This window comes from Homo sapiens, chromosome 5, assembly GCF_000001405.40.
Source record: "Homo sapiens chromosome 5, GRCh38.p14 Primary Assembly".
In the NCBI taxonomy this organism is placed as follows: Eukaryota; Metazoa; Chordata; class Mammalia; order Primates; family Hominidae; genus Homo; species Homo sapiens.
Genome location: NC_000005.10, coordinates 84,094,973 through 84,113,536, shown reverse-complemented (window position 1 = coordinate 84,113,536; position 18,564 = coordinate 84,094,973). Strand labels below are relative to the sequence as shown.

The following is an 18,564-nucleotide window of genomic DNA, read 5'->3' as shown; positions in this document are numbered from 1 at the left end:
CTCTTGGCCAAAGCAGAAAAGTTGCTATGGGGAGGCACTTGAAGTTTGGCCCCCAGCTAGCCCAGCTGCTCCTGCTCAACCTGCCAGGTGACTCACTTGCTCAGTATTAGTCTGAACAGCAGGGTGTCAGGTCAGAAGGCACTTCCAGTCTACTCAGACAATTCAGGCAGTGTAATTATTTTAAATGACTGTATAAAAGGTGCCTGAAATTCTCTGGTAGCCAATGTTGAATGGACTCATTAATTTAGGATTATTGTCGTACCTGACAAAAGCAAGCACAATACCAAGGATGCATAAACACAGATCTTACAGCCAGGAAATGCAGACTACCATATTCTACTACCGTATTCTATTTTTGTATTCAGCATTGATCGAATTGCCACTATGCCCTCTCTAGAGGTAACAATGGGGAATTTCAGAAATACCTGGTAATGCTGTGTGGCAGCGATTTGAAAGAGAAGAGACCCAGACAGACCACTATCAGTTACATTTTTTTTAAATAGTAAACAAGTGCTCTTCTTTACTCATCATAAAAAAAATTTCTAAAGAAGGCCTCTATATCTGTGTACCTTTGAGAGCATGTAAGTGTAAGTGTAAATGATTTTTAATTAAAAATGAAGTATACAAATAAAATGGTACCATATTACCTGCCATTTGTATTGTTTATTTACCTTTCATATTTATTTTTTAGAAGTAATTCCCTCTACCGACATTTATTAAATGTTCACTGAAATTGAAGCTTGCTGCTAGATACTGTGAGGAATATAATCTTTGCCTACAAAGGGGTTCTCTATCTTGTGAGAAAACAGATGGGCACACATAAACATGTGGATGAGTTGTGGACCAGGGAAGTACTGGACATGGTTTGAGCATAGAAGCAGATTTTTACATCTCAATCCTGTCCCTGCAGCCTGACTGATATGAGAGATGTTGAGAGTAGCCCACCAAAATCAGTATAGCAAGAGAAGGAAGGTAAGACAAGCAGATCCTCCCACATTCAATCCAACAGCAAGAATGATTTTTGATAAATTTTAAGAGAGGAATTTGGTCCAGTGATGTTATTTGTGAAACGTGGCCAATCTCAATGAAAGGAAACACCTATGTTTGCTCTCTGGACCCTTTGAAATTCAAACACTCCATTTCCCTCCTCTACCTTGCATCTAATCATTACTAGTTCTGCCTACTTTTACCTCTTAAATATTTTTGAACTCTTCCTCTTCTCCGCCCCTCTTTCAGATCTGCATTATTTTTCACATGGACAACTGTAGTAGCTTACTCTTTGGACATAGTTTTGTCCCGTCTTAAATCTACTCTTTATGGCACAGTGGGAATGATCTAAATTAAATGAAAATGTGGCCATAGAGTCCTTCAAAAACTCCCCATCACTAACAGAACCAAATTCTATCATCACCGTCTTCTGCAAAATAATCTAGCATTTTTCTACTTCTCCACTTCATCTCTTAACCATTCCCCCACCAACCCATCTTGATCTAGTGATACTGAACTGCCTCTAATTCCCTCATCATAGCAGCCTGTTCCCTGCCTGTGTCTATCCTGTCTCCTCTCTCCACTATGCAAGCTCCTATTCTTTTCCGGGAATCATTCCCAGAGCCCCAAGCTAGGTTATTATTCCCTCTTCTCTTCTCCCACTGAATCTTCTGCATTCACCAACACAATATCTGCCATATTATATAAAAATGTTCTTATTTCTCTGTGTCTCCCCATTACACTGAAGCCCCTTGAGGAAACCAGTACTGTAAACATAGCCAGCTCCTTCTTCCCATTCAGAGATGAGACTTGGTGTAACCTCTCAGAAAGGCCATCTCTGATCACCTGACACCCACACTTGATTCACCCTTCTTTTTTTCCTTCATAGCACATACCACTTCATGGTATTTTCTTGTTTAAGTGTTTGTTTATTATTTGTCTCTCCACTAGAATGTGAATCTTTTAAGAGCATAGACCTTTTCTGCCTTATTTATCCCTATGTCACTACTACCTAGAAAAGTGCCAAATATGTAGAAGGGCTTCAATAAACACGTATTTTCAAAACTGAATTAAATGAACGGATGGAGTGATGGGTGGATGAGCATATACTTAGAGGTCAATAAATTAATAAGAACAGAATTTGCCTATCCGTATTAGATAAGCAGAGTATAAGCCAATGATGGTATCAGGTTAATTTTAACACCTTAGGAGACAGACACACTATAAACTGTAGGTATTTAATTCTGTGACTGAATGCCTGTATTAGTTCATTCACACATTGTTATAAAGAACTACCTGAGACTGGGTAATTTATGAAGAAAATAGTTTAATTGACTCACCATTCCACAAGCTGTATAGGAAGCATGGCTGGGAGGCTTCAGGAAACTTACAATCATGGGGGAAGGGCAAAGGGGAAGCAAGCATGTCTTCCTATGGCAGCAGGAGTGAGTGTGAAGAGAGACGTGCCACACACTTTTAAACCACCAGATCTCATGAGAACTCACCATTATGAGAATAGCAAAGAGGAAGCCCGTCCCCATGATCCAGTCACCTCCCATCAGGTCCCTCCCCCAAGACTAGGGATTACAATTCAACATGAGATTTAGGTGGGGACACAGAGGCATACCATATCAGTGCCATACATTATGTACTGTTGCAGTGGATCCCAACTTGTGAAAACTCCATTACATCCTCAGTGTTACTAGTGATATCTTGTATGTTCATTCCATGTTAATGTTCCTGTTGCCTCCCCTAGGATGCATAAGTATGTATGCTTCACATAATATAGCAGAAGGAAAAGATCCGAGTCAAATTTTGAAGAATTACTGAACTCTCCACATTAAATTACACAGTCATCTTTTACAAGCTTAACTTCCATCCTCACAATTTTTCTAATTCATGAAATAGTCCTGAAAACATTTTTTTCTTGAAGTATTATTTCAAAGATTATATGAGAAAACACATGTGGGTACACTTTTCAAACTTCAGAGTTCTCATCTGACATTGATTACTTCATCAATTATCATTTCATATATCTTCTATCATTTGTTGATAGTAAAAGCAATGTATATTTTCATATTATCTTTCTTTTTAAGCATCCTGTTATTAATTGCTTAAGGTCACTTAATCTTAGGTGTATATTCATTTGCATTCTGAATTGTAATTCCTTCACTGGTTTTTATAACTGTTGAATTTAATAGGATATGGGGGAAGTGGATAGCACAGGCAAAAGGAAATTGGATTTTGAACTTTTTATTGTGATGACATCCATTTGATTGTGGTCCACATGATTAGTGAAGAAAATCTGCTGTTGTGACAACTTCGCAGAGTGAAATAAATCTAAGGCTTGGATTTGCTTATTACTTTACTGTTTAGAAGCAAAAAAAGCCCCCAATAACAACGTTCAGTGCATATTTATTGGGCTTTTCCTGTGTACAAGCCACCATGAGCATCTAAGGATATAACAGTGAGAAATACCTAGCTCCTACTCGAAAGGGGCTAAAAAGCCAGGATTACTTCAGTTGAGGTCCTCTAAAAAGAAGTATGAAAATAACCTTACAGAACCAAGCTCATTATTTTTTCAGCAATTTATAGCTCCAAAAGCAAAGCTTTCATTATCTTGTCTTCTTCACAACTGATAAGTTAAGTGTCATCATAACCCCGATTTTAAAAAGTAGGAAAATGCAGAATCACTAACTCAAGGCAGTACCTTGACAACTCACAGACTCACACTTCATTCAAGAATCCCCATCACAGTCATGCTTCCTTTGGTGGCCTTTTTTGACTATATGTAAGTGACAGAGTGTGGTATGCAACTGTTGGAAATTGGTTTTTGGGGGGTATTTTTGTTTGTTTTTGTTTGTTTAAAGCAACAATATAGAATCGAGGACTGGTGATACTTGTAAATTTGACATCATGGCAATGAAATAGCTCATGCAAAAATACTTTGTATAAGATATAACCCTATAATATATCATGTCAATATATATTATTTGAATTGTGGAGGGTTTTTTGTTTTGCTTTTTTGTTTTGTTTTGTTTTTTGAGATGAAGTCTCACTCTGTTACCCAGACTGGAGTGCAGTGGTGTGATCTCAGCTCACTGCAACCTCCGCCTCCTGGCTTCAAGTGATTCTCCTGCCTCAGCCTCCTGAGTAGCTGGGACTACAGGCACATGCTGCCATGCCCAGGTAATTTTTGTATTTTCAGTAGAGACAGGGTTTCACCATGTTGGTCAGTCTGGTCTCAAACTCCTGACCTCAGGTGATCCACCTGCCTCGGTCTCCCAAAGTGCTGGGATTACAGACATGAGCCACTGCGCCCAGCTTGAATTATGTTTTTTGAAAGAATTAATATGCAGGACTAAAGAGCATAGCAAAGATTTGGAACCTTATGGCAGAGTGAGTTGCACATATATATTTTCAAAATCGCTCATTGGTATTTGGCTTATCTGATAAATACAACAGTTCAAAGTCAATGAGTTTCCTGATATGTTAGCTACTAAAGGGAGGTTGATAGATTAAACAATGAAGTAGAATTATAGGATATTGTGATTTGAGATCTACTCTCTGCTTTAAAATAGTTACAAATTCTGTGAAGATATCTAATTCAGCATAAGGTCTTTAGAGGTATACAACTAAATGGCACAGAGTTATTTTTAAGTCTGCCATACAGCTCATTAATCAATTCTGGCTCTCTAGCTCTGCTAGTCTACTTACTGGCCTACAATAAATGGCCTGCAATAAAAGATCTCCCTGCCTGTTTCATTTTTCCATCCAAACATTGTACAAACTAAGGACAAGATGCTTGAGACCCCTTTGATGACAATATTATTAAAAAGCTAGGCTCCTGCCATTACTAAAGTCACAGTGTCATCATGAAAGTTTCTTAGTACGTTTATGAAGTCTGTAAAGATCTTGAAGTTTAAAATGGAAAGCAAAATAAGGGTCCAAAGAATTAATATCTGAACTTTTAACGTTAAGTTTTTGGGAATGTGAAAATCAGATTATCATCTGCAGCTCGTAAGACTTCAATTCTACTAATGAATGGCTTCTTAATTTAATGATTCTAAAGTGATATAGTATACTTTCATAAAGTGCTAAGCAGTCCTAATTACATGTTAAAAAAAGATCTTATTATCTAAATTTATCATACCAAGTAATTTTTTGTCAATGGCAAAGATGCAATTTTTACTGTATTAATGTTGTCTTTACTAATACAGTCTGATTAAGATGATTACTTATCCATATATTTTTATCTTCTTTATAAAAAAATTTAAAAATTTGAAAGCCATCAGAGCTACTTACCATGTTTATGACAATTAAAAATATGGTTAACAGTGAGAAATATCTTACTAAGTTTCAAAAATATTATAATTTGGCTCCTAATATTTTTTCTTATTTTCAACCTCAATCTAAGTGTAAACATTTAATTACTGACAAATGTTGGATTTTGACAGTAATTAAAATCTAAAATGTACTTGGTCATAATCACCAATCAAGTTGACTTTCATATACTGATATTTAGTAGTAGCAATGAACTTCTTTCTTATTTTCATAAATTCTGATAAATTATTGTAGTATATTTTTATAATACAATTATCGTATATATTATACAAATCTAAATTGGCAAAATATTCAGTATAGTATATGAAATGTTAATGAAATTAAGAACATCTTTTCCTTATATCATATCCCTACTTATTCTGAATTTTCAAAACTGAATTTAAAAGAAATGTACCTTCTGCTGAAATTTTATAACGCAATTAAGAATTTATATATAATTTTATATATAATACAAATATATATGTAATTTTTTAAGGATGGATTTATCTCCATTTCTAATTTGAAAAACTAAATACATTTGGTATCTGAGAACATATCATTTGAGCATAATGTGTTTTAATCTTAGTATTTTAAAATTTCATTGGAAAATTTTCTTAAGTTTCTCAGTTGCAAATGTGAAGATATACATGCAGAATCCCAATATGTAGAATTGTGAATTTGAAACTAAAGTGCTAATAAGTATTTTAATATCTTGATTTACTGAGTTGTACACATTGTCATGTATAATGTTGTCAGAGAGTTTACCTGCTCTCTTTATAAAAATAATTTGTCTACATATATTTTATAATTTATAATATATCATGGGGTATTATAATAATATTTTTAAATGTTAACAGATTTACCCATTTCCCTTTTGTTGTGGAAGCATAACTGATGGTGGGTATAAAAATTTAAGTTATAAAGTTTATAGTAGTGAGAAATGCTAAATTAGTACAAAAATAACTTTGAAAAAAAGCTCAGCTTTATGATAATAAAGAAATAATGGATGGAAAAATATTTGTTGAGAGCTTATAATTTGTGAGGCATGCTAATCTCCGGGAATATAAAATATGAGATAAGCCTTTTAAGAGCATTATGCTTTTGTTGACGTGATCAACAACCAGAAGCTATCAGTACAGAACCAGAATCATAATGCAGAAGGGAAGTGTCTATTAAGTGACTACTTTCAAAGCAAAGAAGGAAGAGAGGGTCATGAGAAGCAAGAATTATTTCCTTAATTTAGAGATCGATAACAGATCTGTAAAGGGGATGAAGAGTAAATAGCATGGTGGTGCAAATTCAAATCATTTAAAAAAATCCTATCAAATCGAACAGACACATGTTGTATATGCATTGTTTCTAATACATTCATATTTTTTCCTGTTTTTGTTTCCAGAATGCTCAGGCCCACTGGGAATTGAAGGTGGAATTATATCAAACCAGCAAATCACAGCTTCCTCTACTCACCGAGCTCTTTTTGGACTCCAAAAATGGTATCCCTACTATGCACGTCTTAATAAGAAGGGGCTTATAAATGCGTGGACAGCTGCAGAAAATGACAGATGGCCGTGGATTCAGGTAACAGATGGGATGGGACAAGGTTAATGTTATAAGTCATTTTTAAATGATTCTGGTCATTTTAAAAAGCAGACAAAAGGGAACTCAGTGTGACTCTTCCTTATGGTCAGAGGAAAGGGTAATTTAGTGAAGAGTTCAAATTAGCTCCCAATTCTGAGAAGTAAAAAACATGCACATTCCATTAAGAAGTTAGTTAAAGAGATCAAAAACGTTAAAAATATTCAGGTATAAATATCACTGTTTTAAGGTGCATATCAAAGCAGGAGACTTTCTGTATACTGTGTGTTCATTACCACTGTGATAACGTTTAGCAGCAACTTATGATACTTTAAGAACATAAAAATTATATCAATGTTTTCTATCTCTAAGAAGTGGGTCCACAAATGCAAGTATAAAATATACCATGCATCATAATAACAATACCTCAAATGCACCTTCTTTCAAGCTGAGGGTGTTTCATTTCATAGTGTTATTCACTCTCATCAACCAGCTATTTTTTAAAACAGGAGAAAACAACAATATACTGAAATATTAAGTGATTTCCCAGAGGGGGTAGCAAGGCCCAGAGCTTATATTTCTGTACATTTCAATGCTTTTTGAGCATTTAGATGAACTATGTACTAGGAGTACAGAAAGATGATCAAAACTGATGTCTGTGAAAGAGTAAACCTCTGTTGGGGAAAGCACATTAATAACCATCTAACAAGTCATTGATGTGTACTAAAGGGAGGAAGAATTCAGTATTCTGTGGTCAGAGGAAGAATTCATTAATTATCTTGAGAAACTCACCTGGGGCAGATAGCTTTTGAGCTAGGCCTGAGAAGGATGGCTTTCAGTAGAGACTGAACATCCAGGGAACAGCCTGATTAAAGATGCTACATGACAATCTGGGGAATATTGTAGAAAATCATGACTAGAGTAAAGGTTGCTGGAGGGATGTGTTCAAATTCATTGTACGAGTTTGCTGTGCTTCGGGAGTCATACTAAAAGGTATTAGCCTTATTTCAGTAGAGTAGGGAGATATTGCAGAGTTTTGATTAGTTTAGGTGATTGATCTGTTCTATCTGTTTACTACGTATTCTAAGTCAAAGAAACATGGAAATCCCTGATGTGACATAATTAGGTGTACTATACAAGAACTAGTTTACAGGCATTTGGTATAAACGAAAATTGATTTATGGCTAAGAGGCAAGACTTCCATACTTGAAAAACTGGGCCAAAATCTCCTTCAGATACTTTCTTTGTTCAGATTTCTTAGGCATTCTTATATGTCTCATAAACATTTCTTTTATCTATAGAGCTCTAATAAGGTTGCCTGAAGTTCTTGTTTTGTATTATGAATTTATATTTACATGAAGTTGTTAAAATTGCTTCTTAAGTTACACTTGACTTTTTCAATCTATAGCAACATGTGCAAAATGAACTCCAGATAGTGGAAATGGCACATCTATACAGTTTTATCACACTTGTGAAGGATCGATTAAGGTTTAAAATATGCACAGAATAATAGAAAATAATTATATCATATTTACTAATGAATAATCATTCCAGAGACATTTTTAATCACTCTAGTTGAAATGCATTTGTAGGACTGTGGTCATGATAAAACTTTAGACATTAATATTCATAGCCAAAATTCAGAACAGTTGAGAGATGATATCACCAGTTTACATCAGGGTTTCTGTTTGGCAAATTATGTTCGTGAGCTTCAATGATTGCCATCTTTCTATAAACCATAAGTAGCATGCTTTTCCAGTGTTTACTCTGAGAAACACCTTATTAATGTTTCATATCCGATTGTTCACTTTACTTTGTCCCAGTATTGCCTACTTAACACTATGCATCATTCTTCCTTTCAAAGTATTGTGTGAAGTTTTAATTCCCTTTATCCCAGTGGCTGTAGGCAGAAATAACCTTAATCGAACAGGACAGTGATCAACACTGAGAAAAATTTAGATTTATTCTCTTAAGAACAATAGTTAAAACTTATTTTACTTTTAAGGTCAGTGGGATGATGATAATTTGCTTTTGGTCTGAAGATGATAATGAACTCAGAGAAAAACAGCTAAAGTAAACATGAAAGGTTTTATATTAGAGTGAGAACCTCAAATATAATGGGTGAAAAACTAAAAATTATTGTTATTCAATAAATTTTTAGGAATTATATTCAATGTATTCATTTTATAATTGTGTTCTTTAATAATATATTTTTAATGTTATTTTTTACAAAACTTTACCAATTTTCTTTTTTTTTTTGAAACTTTTATTTTAGGTTCAGGGGTACATGTGCAGGTTTGTTATATAGGTATACTTCATGTCATGGGGTTTTTGTTGTACAGATTATTTTGTTACTCTGGTATTAAGCCTAGTATCCATTAGTTATATTTCCTAGTCCTTTCCCTCCTCCCATCCTTCACCCTCAGGTAAGTCCCACTATCTGTTATTTCATTCTATGTGTCCGTGTGTTCCCATCATTTAGCACCCACTGTAAGTGGTGCTAAGGGAAAACATGTAGTATTTGGTTTCCTGTTCCCACATTAGTTTGCTAAGGATAATTAGTTTGCTCCAGCTTCATTCATGTTCCTGCAAAAGACATGATCTGACTCTTTTGCAGCTGCATAGTATTCCATGGTGTCTATGTATCAGATTTTCTTTACCCAGTCTACAATTGATTGGCATTTCGGTTGATTCCATGTCTTTGTTATTGTGAATGGTGCTACAGTGAACATAGGCGTGCATGTGCCTTTATCATAGAACAATTTATATTCCTTTGGGTATATACCCAGTTATGCTGTGGCTGGGCTGAATGTTAGTTCTGTTTTTAGTTCTTTGCGGAATCTTCACACTGCTTTCCACAATCGTTGAAATAATTTACACTCCCACCAACAGTGTATAACCATTCCCTTTTCTCCTCAACCTTGCCAGCATCTATTATTATTTTACTTTTTAGTAATAGCCATTCTGACTGTTGTAAGATGGTATCTAATTGTGGTTTCATTTGCATTTCTCTAATGATAACTGATTTTGAGGGTTTTTTTCCTATGATTGTTGGCTGCATGTATGTCTTCTTTTGAAAATTGTCTGTTTATGTCCTTTGCCCACTTTTTAATGAAGTTGTTTGTTTTTTTTCTTGAAAATTTAAGTTTCTTATAGATGCTGAATATTAGACCTTTATCAGATGCATAGTTTGAAAAAGTTTTCTTCCATTCGGTAGGTTGTCTGTTCACTGTGTTGATAGTTCCTTTTTCTGTGCAGAAGCTCTTTAGTTTAATTAGATCCCATTTGTCATTTTTTGCTTTTGTTGCAATTGTTTTCCGTCTCTTTGTCATGAAATATTTGCCATTTCCTCTGTCCAGAATGGTATTGCCTAGGTTGTCTTTCAGGGATTTTATAGCTTTGGATTTTACATTTAAGTCTTTAATCCATCTTGAGTTGATTTGTGTATATAGTGTAAGGAAAGGGTCCAGTTTCAATCTTCTGCCTATGGCTAACCACTATCCCAGCATCATTTATTGATTAGGGAGTTCTTTCCCCATAGCTTGTTTTTGTCAGCTTTGTGGAGGATCAGATGGTTGTAGGTGTGCAACCTTATTTCTGGTCTCTCAATTCTGTTCCATTGGAATATATGTCTGTTTTTGTATCAGTATCAAAACAGTACTTTTGGTTACTGTAGCCCTATAGTATAGTTTGAAGTCAGGTAATGTGATACTTCTAGCTTTTGGGGGGTTTTATTTTTGTTGTTGTCTTCAGGATTGTCTTGGCTATTTTAAGATAGTATTTTCTAATTCTGTGAATAATGTCATTGGGAGTTTGATAGGATTAGCATTGAAATCTATAAATTGCTTTGGGCAGTATGGCCATTGTAATGATTTTGATTCTTCGTATCCACAAGCATGGAATGGTTTTTCCATTTGTTTGTGTTATCTCTGATTTCTTGGACCAGTGTTTTCTAGTTCCCATTGTAGAGATTGTTTATTTCCCTGATAAGCTGTATTCCTAGGAGGGTTTTTTCGTTTTTTTTTTGTTTTGTTTTGTTTTGTTTTAGCAATTGTAGGTGGGATGGCATTTCTGATTTGGCACTTGGCTTGACTGTGGTTGCTATATAGGAATGCCAGTAATTTTTGTATGTTGATTTTTTACCTTGAGACTTTGCTGAAGGTGTTTATCAGCTTAAGGATCATTCGGGCCTAGACTGTGGGGTTTCCTAGATCCTTCGGGCCTAGACTGTGGGGTTTTCTAGATATGGAATCATGTCCTCTGCAAACAGGGATACTTTGGCTTCCTCTCTGCCCGTTTTGGATGGCTTTTACTTTTTTCTCTTGCCTGATTGCCCTGGCCAGGACTTCCAATACTATGTTGAATAGGAGTGATGAGAAAGGGCATCCTTGTCTCATTTCTGTTTTCAAGAGGAATGCTTCCATCTTTTGCTCATTTAGTATGATGTTGGCTGTGGGTTTATCATAGGTGATTCATAATTTTGAGGTATGTTCTTTCAGTACCAAGTTTATTGAGAGTTTTTAATATGAGAGGTGTTAAATTTTATTGGAAGGCTTTTCTGAATCTATTGAGATGATCATGTGGTTTTTGTCTTTAGTTATGTTTATGTGATTATTCACTCTTATTGATTTACATATGTTGAACCTACCTTGCATCCTGGGGATAAAGCCTGCTTGATCATGGTGGATAAGCTTTTAGTTGTGCTATTGGATTCAATTTGCTTGTATTTTGTTGAGGATTTTTGAATTGATATTCATCAAAATATTGTCCTGAAGTTTTCTGTTTTTGTTTTGTCTCTGCCTGGTTTTGGTATCAGGATGATGTTAGCCTTGTAGAATGAGTTAGGAAGGAGTCCCTCTTCCTCGATTGTTTGGAGTAGTGTTAGTAGAAATGCTACCAGCTCTTCTTTGTATATCTGGTAGAATTCAGCTGTGAATCCATGTGGGCCTGGGCTCTTTTTGGTTGGTAGGCTATCTATTACTGATTCAATTTCAGAGATTCTTATTTGTCTACTCATTTGAATTTCATCCTGACTCAGTTTTGGGAGGGCGTATATTTCCAGGGATTTATCCATTTCTTCTAGACTTTCCAGTTTGTGTGCACAGAGGTGTTCACAGCAGTTGCTGATGGTTATTAGTAGTATCTCTTTTGTCATTTCTAATTGTGTTTATTTGGATCTTCTCCCTTTTCTCCTTTATTAATCTAGCTAGCAGTCTATCTATTTTATTAGTTTTTTCAGTAACAACCTCTTGAATTTTTTAATCTTCTTTGGGTGATTTTTAAATTTAATTCTCAGAATAATTCCATATAGTAGGTGTAATTATCATCACTTTATAAATTTAGACAGCTTGAATCAAACAGGTTAATTATCTTATCCAAGTTGTCAGAACTTTAAAGATTACAAAAAATATATAATTAGCCTAATTCACAGCTCTTACAATTTCTTTATGACCAGTATTTTTAAGCTCTCAAATACAAAAATATAGTATGTTTATTGCAACACAGGTCGGACTAGTAACTGTCATTAAATTACCATTGGAGGATATGTAGTGTTGTCCAATCAGCAATGTACTGAACTCAGATTGAATATTAATAATTCTAAAAGGATTACACAAATTAAAAATAAAACTATTGGTGTTGTAGGTTTGTTTTCAATTCAAGCTAAAAGTGAGATGACTTGGTTTCCACTAATTTTTTTTGGCGAAAGAAAAAGGGCCTTAAGTTCTCATGTTCTATAATTTTCTAATAGTAATAATATATTTAACAATTTAAATGGAATAGCATAACAGGACTATTTCCAAACTATCAGAGTAAATTGAGCTGAATTTTTCAGACTGAAATCAAAATTGGTGTATTTATTGAAAAACAAACACAATTTCTCAAAGAAATATAGGTATCGCTAAGAAATATTATCAGATGTTTTTTAATTTATTATACTTTAAGTTCTGGGATACATGTGCAAAACATGCAGGTTTATTACATATGTATACACATGCCATGGTGGTTTGCTACACCCATCAATCCATCATCTGCATTAGGTATTTCTCCTAATGCGATCCCTCCCCTAGCTGCCCCACTCAACAGTCCCCAGTGTGTGATGTTCCCCTGTCTGTTTCCATGTGGTCTCATTGTTCAGCTCCCACTTATGACTGAGAACATGTGGTGTTTGGTTTTCTTTTCCTGTGTTAGTTTGCTAAGAGTGATGGTTTCCAGCTTCATCCATGTCCCTGCCAAGGATGTGAACTCATCCTTCTTTGTGGCTGCATAGTATTCCATGGTGTATACGTGCCTCATTCTTTATCCAGTCTATCATTGATGGGCATTTGGGTTGGTTCCAAATCTTTGCTATTGTGAATAATGCTGCAATAAACACACATGTGCATGTGTCTTTATAGCAGCATGATTTCTAATCTTTTGGGTATATATCCAGTAATGGGATTGCTGGGTCAAATGGTATTTCTGGTTCTAGATCCTTAAGGAATCACCACACTGTCTTCCACAATGGTTGAACTAATTTACACTCCCACCAACAGCATAAAATTGTTCCTATTTCTCCACATCCACTCCAGCATCTGTTGTTTCCTGACTTTTTAATGATCGCCATTCTAACTGGTGTGAGATGGTATCATTGTGGTTTCGATTTCTACTTTTCTAATGACTAGTGATGATGAGCTTTTTTTTTCATATGATTTTTGGCTGCACAAATGTCTTCTTCTGAGAAGTGTCTGTTCATATCCCTTTGACCACTTTTTGATGGGTTTTTTTTTCTTGTAAATTTGTTTAAGTTCTTTGTAGATTCTGGATATTAGCCCTTTGTGAGATGGATAGATTGCAAAAATGTTCTCCCATTCTGTAGGTTTCCTGTTCACTCTGATAATAGTTTCTTTTGCTGTGCAGAAGCTCTTTAGTTTAATTAGATCCCATTTGTCAATTTTGGCTTTTGTTGTCATTGCTTTTTGTTGTTTTAGTCATGAAGTCTTTGCCCATGCCTATGTCCTGAATGGTATTGCCTAGGTTTTCTTCTAGGATTTTTATGGTTTTAAGGTCTTATGTTTAAGTCTTTAATCCATCTTGAGTTAATTTTTTTATAAGGTGTAAGGAAGGGGTCCAGTTTCAGTTTTCTGCATATGGCTAGCCCGTTTTCCCAACACCATTTATTAAATAGGGAATCCTTTCCCCATTGCTTGTTTTGGTCAGGTTTGTCAAAGATCAGATGGTTGTAGATGTGTGGCATTATTTCTGAGGCCTCTGTTCTGTTCCATTGGTCTATATATCTGTTTTGGTTACTGTAGCCTTGTAGTATAGTTTGAAGTCAGGTAGAGTGATGCCTCCAGTTTTGTTCTTTCTGCTTAGGATTGTCTTGACTATACAGGCTTTTTTTGGTTCTGTATGAAATTTAAAGTTGTTTATTCTAATTCTGTGAAGAAAGTCAGTGGTAGCTTGATGGGGATAGCATTGAATCTATGAATTACTTTGGACAGTATGGCCATTTTTACAATATTGATTCTTCCTATCCATGTGCATGGAATGTTTTTCCATTTGTTTGTGTCCTCTGTTATTTCCTTGAGGAGTGGTTTGTAGTTCTTCTTGAAAGGGTCCTTCACATCCCTTGTAAGTTATATCCCTAGGTATTTCCTATACACCAATAATAGACAAACAGAGAGCCAAATCATGAGTGAACTCCCATTCACAATTGTTGATCTTTTGAATGGCTTTTCATGTCTCAGACTTCAGTTCAGCTCTGAGTTTGTTACTTTTTGTCTTCTGATAGCTTTGGGAATGGTTTGCTCTTGGTTCCCTAGTTCTTTTAGTTGTGATGTTAGATTATTAAATGGAGATCTTTCTAACTTTTTGATGTGGGCATTTAGTGCTATAAATTTCCCTCTTAACACTGCATTAGCTGTGTCCAAGAGATTCTGAAGTGTTGTAGTTTTGTTCTCATTAGTTTCAAATAACTTCTTGATTTCTGCCTTACTTATTTACCCAAAAGTCATTCAGGAGTAGGTTATTTAATTTCCATGTGATCATATGGTTTTGAGTAATTTTCTTAGTCTCAACATTGTTATTCAGTAATTACTTACTGATTATGTTCAAATATATATATTTTGTTAATGCATTCTTTAATAACATATTTTCTAAGTTATTTTTTAGAAGAAAAAACTTTATCAATTTTGTAAGATTAAATCACCTATAAGACATTCTGTGAAATCAAATGATATACCAGAGTTTCTGTGTTGATCATTCATTGTTAATTTCCCTTGTCACCTAAGTCTATTATTTATATTCAGTCCTTCAAATGAAACCTTTGAGTACTTCGCTTAAACTCACTTATAATGAGCACAGTAACCCCCTAATCTTTCAGGTGTATGACAAACATGCACTAATTAGTATTCAATTTCATTTTCTTCATTGTCTTGATGAAACGAAAATTGAAATTGCCATTTTACATTTATATGTTCAGCATGCAATTATTAATAGTACCACAATGCTCATAACTGGTTCTGGATTTAAAGAGTTGGTAAATGCAGTTAAACAAGTTTTTTTTTTTTTTCAGATTTCTAGTTTTTTGGAGCTTTATTTCTTTATGTAGATTTTTTCCAACTAATAATTAACCACTACATTAAACATTAGCTCATCAGCATCCTAGAATATCAGTTTTTCTTTCTGATTAACATGTTAGAATTAGCAACTTTGCACAATTATAGAAATATGTCTTGGATTATAACAAGTGTATTTTAAATTCTGGGTGCTTTGCTAACTAACTGAGGGTCAGCCAGTATAACTATTTCTTATTTATTTTCAAGATATGCAGTGTCAATTTCTCTGTGTTTTTCTTTTCTTTTATAGCTATTTGTAGTAAAATATTAATTTTATTTTTTAAATTTATGGGTTGATTTTTATTTATATATATGTGTTTATGTGTGTTTTTCTAGAATACATATACATTGAATTTCCAGCTATTAATTTATTCATGTATTCCACAAACATTTACTCATGAATGTGTACTCTACACTCTATCCACTACTAGGCAGTAGAGAAAAGATAACACCTACTTTCAGGATGCTCTGAATCCAGAAAAGATAAAAGTAAGCTGGGTAAACATAACACAAAACATATGTGGCCTGGCCTTACATGGTTTGCTAACTACTCCATTTGAATTATATTATATCCAAACAGCCTATTTTTATTAGGACTTTTATTAAAGTAAAAACTACATTAACATAATATTTACATAATACAAGGAAAGAAATTTCCATTATACTATGTATTACCGTTGTGTGCTGATATATTTGATGTGTATGATATAGTATAATACTAGGGCAATGTCACAATTTTTCTTTCGAAAGTTAATTCACCAGTTGTTTTTTCAGTTCTAGTATTTTATCACTGAGAAAATTGGGTTTGGAACTCTCTTACCTTTTTAGAAATGTGGCTATGATCTTAATATGTTCCCTTTTTATGTGCCATAGAATTTGTGAGAGGAAAAACAGTTATTTCTCAAACTTCAATGTGCATTGAAACCATGGGTCACTTGGTGTATTAGTCTGTTTTTATGCTGCTGATAAAGACATACCCGAGGCTGGGCAATTTACAAAAGAAAGAGGTTTAATGGACTTACAGTTCCACATGGCTGGGGAGGCCTCACAATAATGGTGGAAGGCAAGGAGGAGCAAGTGACATTTACGTGGATGGTGGCAGGCAAAAAGAGAGAGAGCTTGTGCAGGGAAACTCCCGTTTTTAAAACTATCAGATCTTGTAACTTATTCACTATCATGAGAATAGCATGGGAAAGACCCGCTCCCATGATTCACTTATCTTTCACTGGGTCCCTCCCACACATGTGGAAATTATGGGAACTACAAGATGAGATTTGGATGGGGGCACAGAGCCAGACCTTGTCATTCTGCCTGTGTACTGTCCAAAATCTCATGTCTTCACATTTCAAAACCAATCATGCCTTCCCAACAGTCCCCCAGAGTCTTAACTCATTTCAGCATTAACTCAAAAGTCTGCAGTCCAAAGTCTCATCTGAAAAAAACCAAGTCCCTTCAGCCTATGAGCCTATAAAATCAAAAGCAACTTAGTTACTTCCTAGATACAGTGGTGATACAGGCATTAGTTAAATACGGCCATTCCAAATGGGAGAAATCGGCCAAAACAAAGGGGCTACTGGCCCCAGGCAAGTCCAAAATCCATTGGGGTAGTCAAATCTTAAAGCTCCAAAATGGTCTCCTTTGACTGCATGTCTCACATCCATGTCAAGCTGATGCAAGAGGTGGGTTCCCATGGTCTTGGGCATCTTCTCCTCTGTGGCTTTGCAGGGTACAGCCTCCCTCCTGGCTGCTTTCACAGGTTGCCTTTGAGCATCTGTGGCTTTTCCAGACACACGGTGCAAGCTGTTGGGGGATCTACCATTTTGGGGTCTCTAGGATGGTGGCCCTCTTCTCACAGCTCCACTAGGTGGTGCCCCAGTGGGGACTCTGTGTGGGGGCTCTTACCCCCCGTTTCCCTTCTGCACTGCCCTAGCAGAGGTTTTCCATGAGGGCCTCACCCCTGCAGCAAACTTCTGCCTGGGCATCCAGGCATTTCCATACATCTTCTGAAATCTAGGCAGTGTTTCCCAAACCCCAATTATTGACTTCATAAAAAAATCCGTATGTGAAATTTGTACTACAGAAATTTGTAACGATTTATTACCAAGTCCCTAGGCTGCACACAGCACCGGGGACCCTGGGCCCAGCCCACAAAACCACTGTTTCCTCCTAGGCCTTCAGGCCTATGATGGGAGGGGCTGCCATGAAGACCTCTAACATGCTGTGGAGACAATTCCCCCATTGTCTTGGGGATTAACATTCAGCTCCTCATTACTTATGCAAATTTCTGCAGCTGGCTTGAATTTCTCCTCAGAAAATGGGATTTTTCTTTTCTATTGCATTGTCAGGCTGCAAATTTTCCAAACTTTTATGCTTTGCTTCCCTTATAAAGCTGAATGCCTTTAACAGCACCCAATACAGCTCTTGAATGCTTTGCTGCTTAGAAATTTCTTCTGCCAGATACCCTAAATCATCTCTCTCAAGTTCAAAGTTCCACAAATTTCTAGAGCAGGAGCAAAATGCTGCCACTCACTTTAATAAAGCATAACAAGAGTCACCTTTGCTCCAGTTCCCAGCAAGTTCCTCATCTCCATCTGAGACCACCTCAGCCTGGATTTCATTGTCCATGTCATTATCAGCATTTTGGTCAAAGCCATTCAACCATTCTCTAGGGAGTTCCAAACTTACCTATGTTTTTCTGTCTTTTTCTGAGCCCTCCAAACTGTTCCAACCTCTGCCTGTTACCCCATTCCAAAGTTGCTTCCACATTTTCAGGTATTTTTTCAGCAGTGCCCCACTCTACTGGTACCAATTTACACTTGGTAAAAATAGAAACTTCTAAATTGCTCCACAGGCCTAGTGCAGGTCATGCTCAGACTTCACAGTAAAAATATGTCTCGTCTCCTTATAAATCTTAGGTTTGTACTGCCCTGAGTTACAGTAAAAATATAAATAAATAAAATAAAAAACACTTTTGCTTGATGATGTGGGAACCTTGTTGTTGGAACTGCAAGTAGTGATGACCACCTAGGCTGGAGGGAGAGGAAAGAACAGTGAAGAAAATGAGGAAAGATAATGGGAAATA

The 18,564-nt window shown here is 35.6% G+C and overlaps 1 protein-coding gene across 2 annotated transcripts in view; it reads left to right on the top strand.

Annotated features, from left to right (window-relative positions):
• Positions 1-18,564, top strand: part of EDIL3 (EGF like repeats and discoidin domains 3) — a 444,327-nt gene that overhangs the window by 271,344 nt on the left and 154,419 nt on the right. For both annotated transcript variants that reach the window (NM_005711.5, NM_001278642.1), the window contains one exon: positions 6,707-6,888. In NM_005711.5, the coding sequence (NP_005702.3) occupies positions 6,707-6,888 (182 nt within the window). The remainder of the gene's footprint in view (positions 1-6,706; positions 6,889-18,564) is intronic.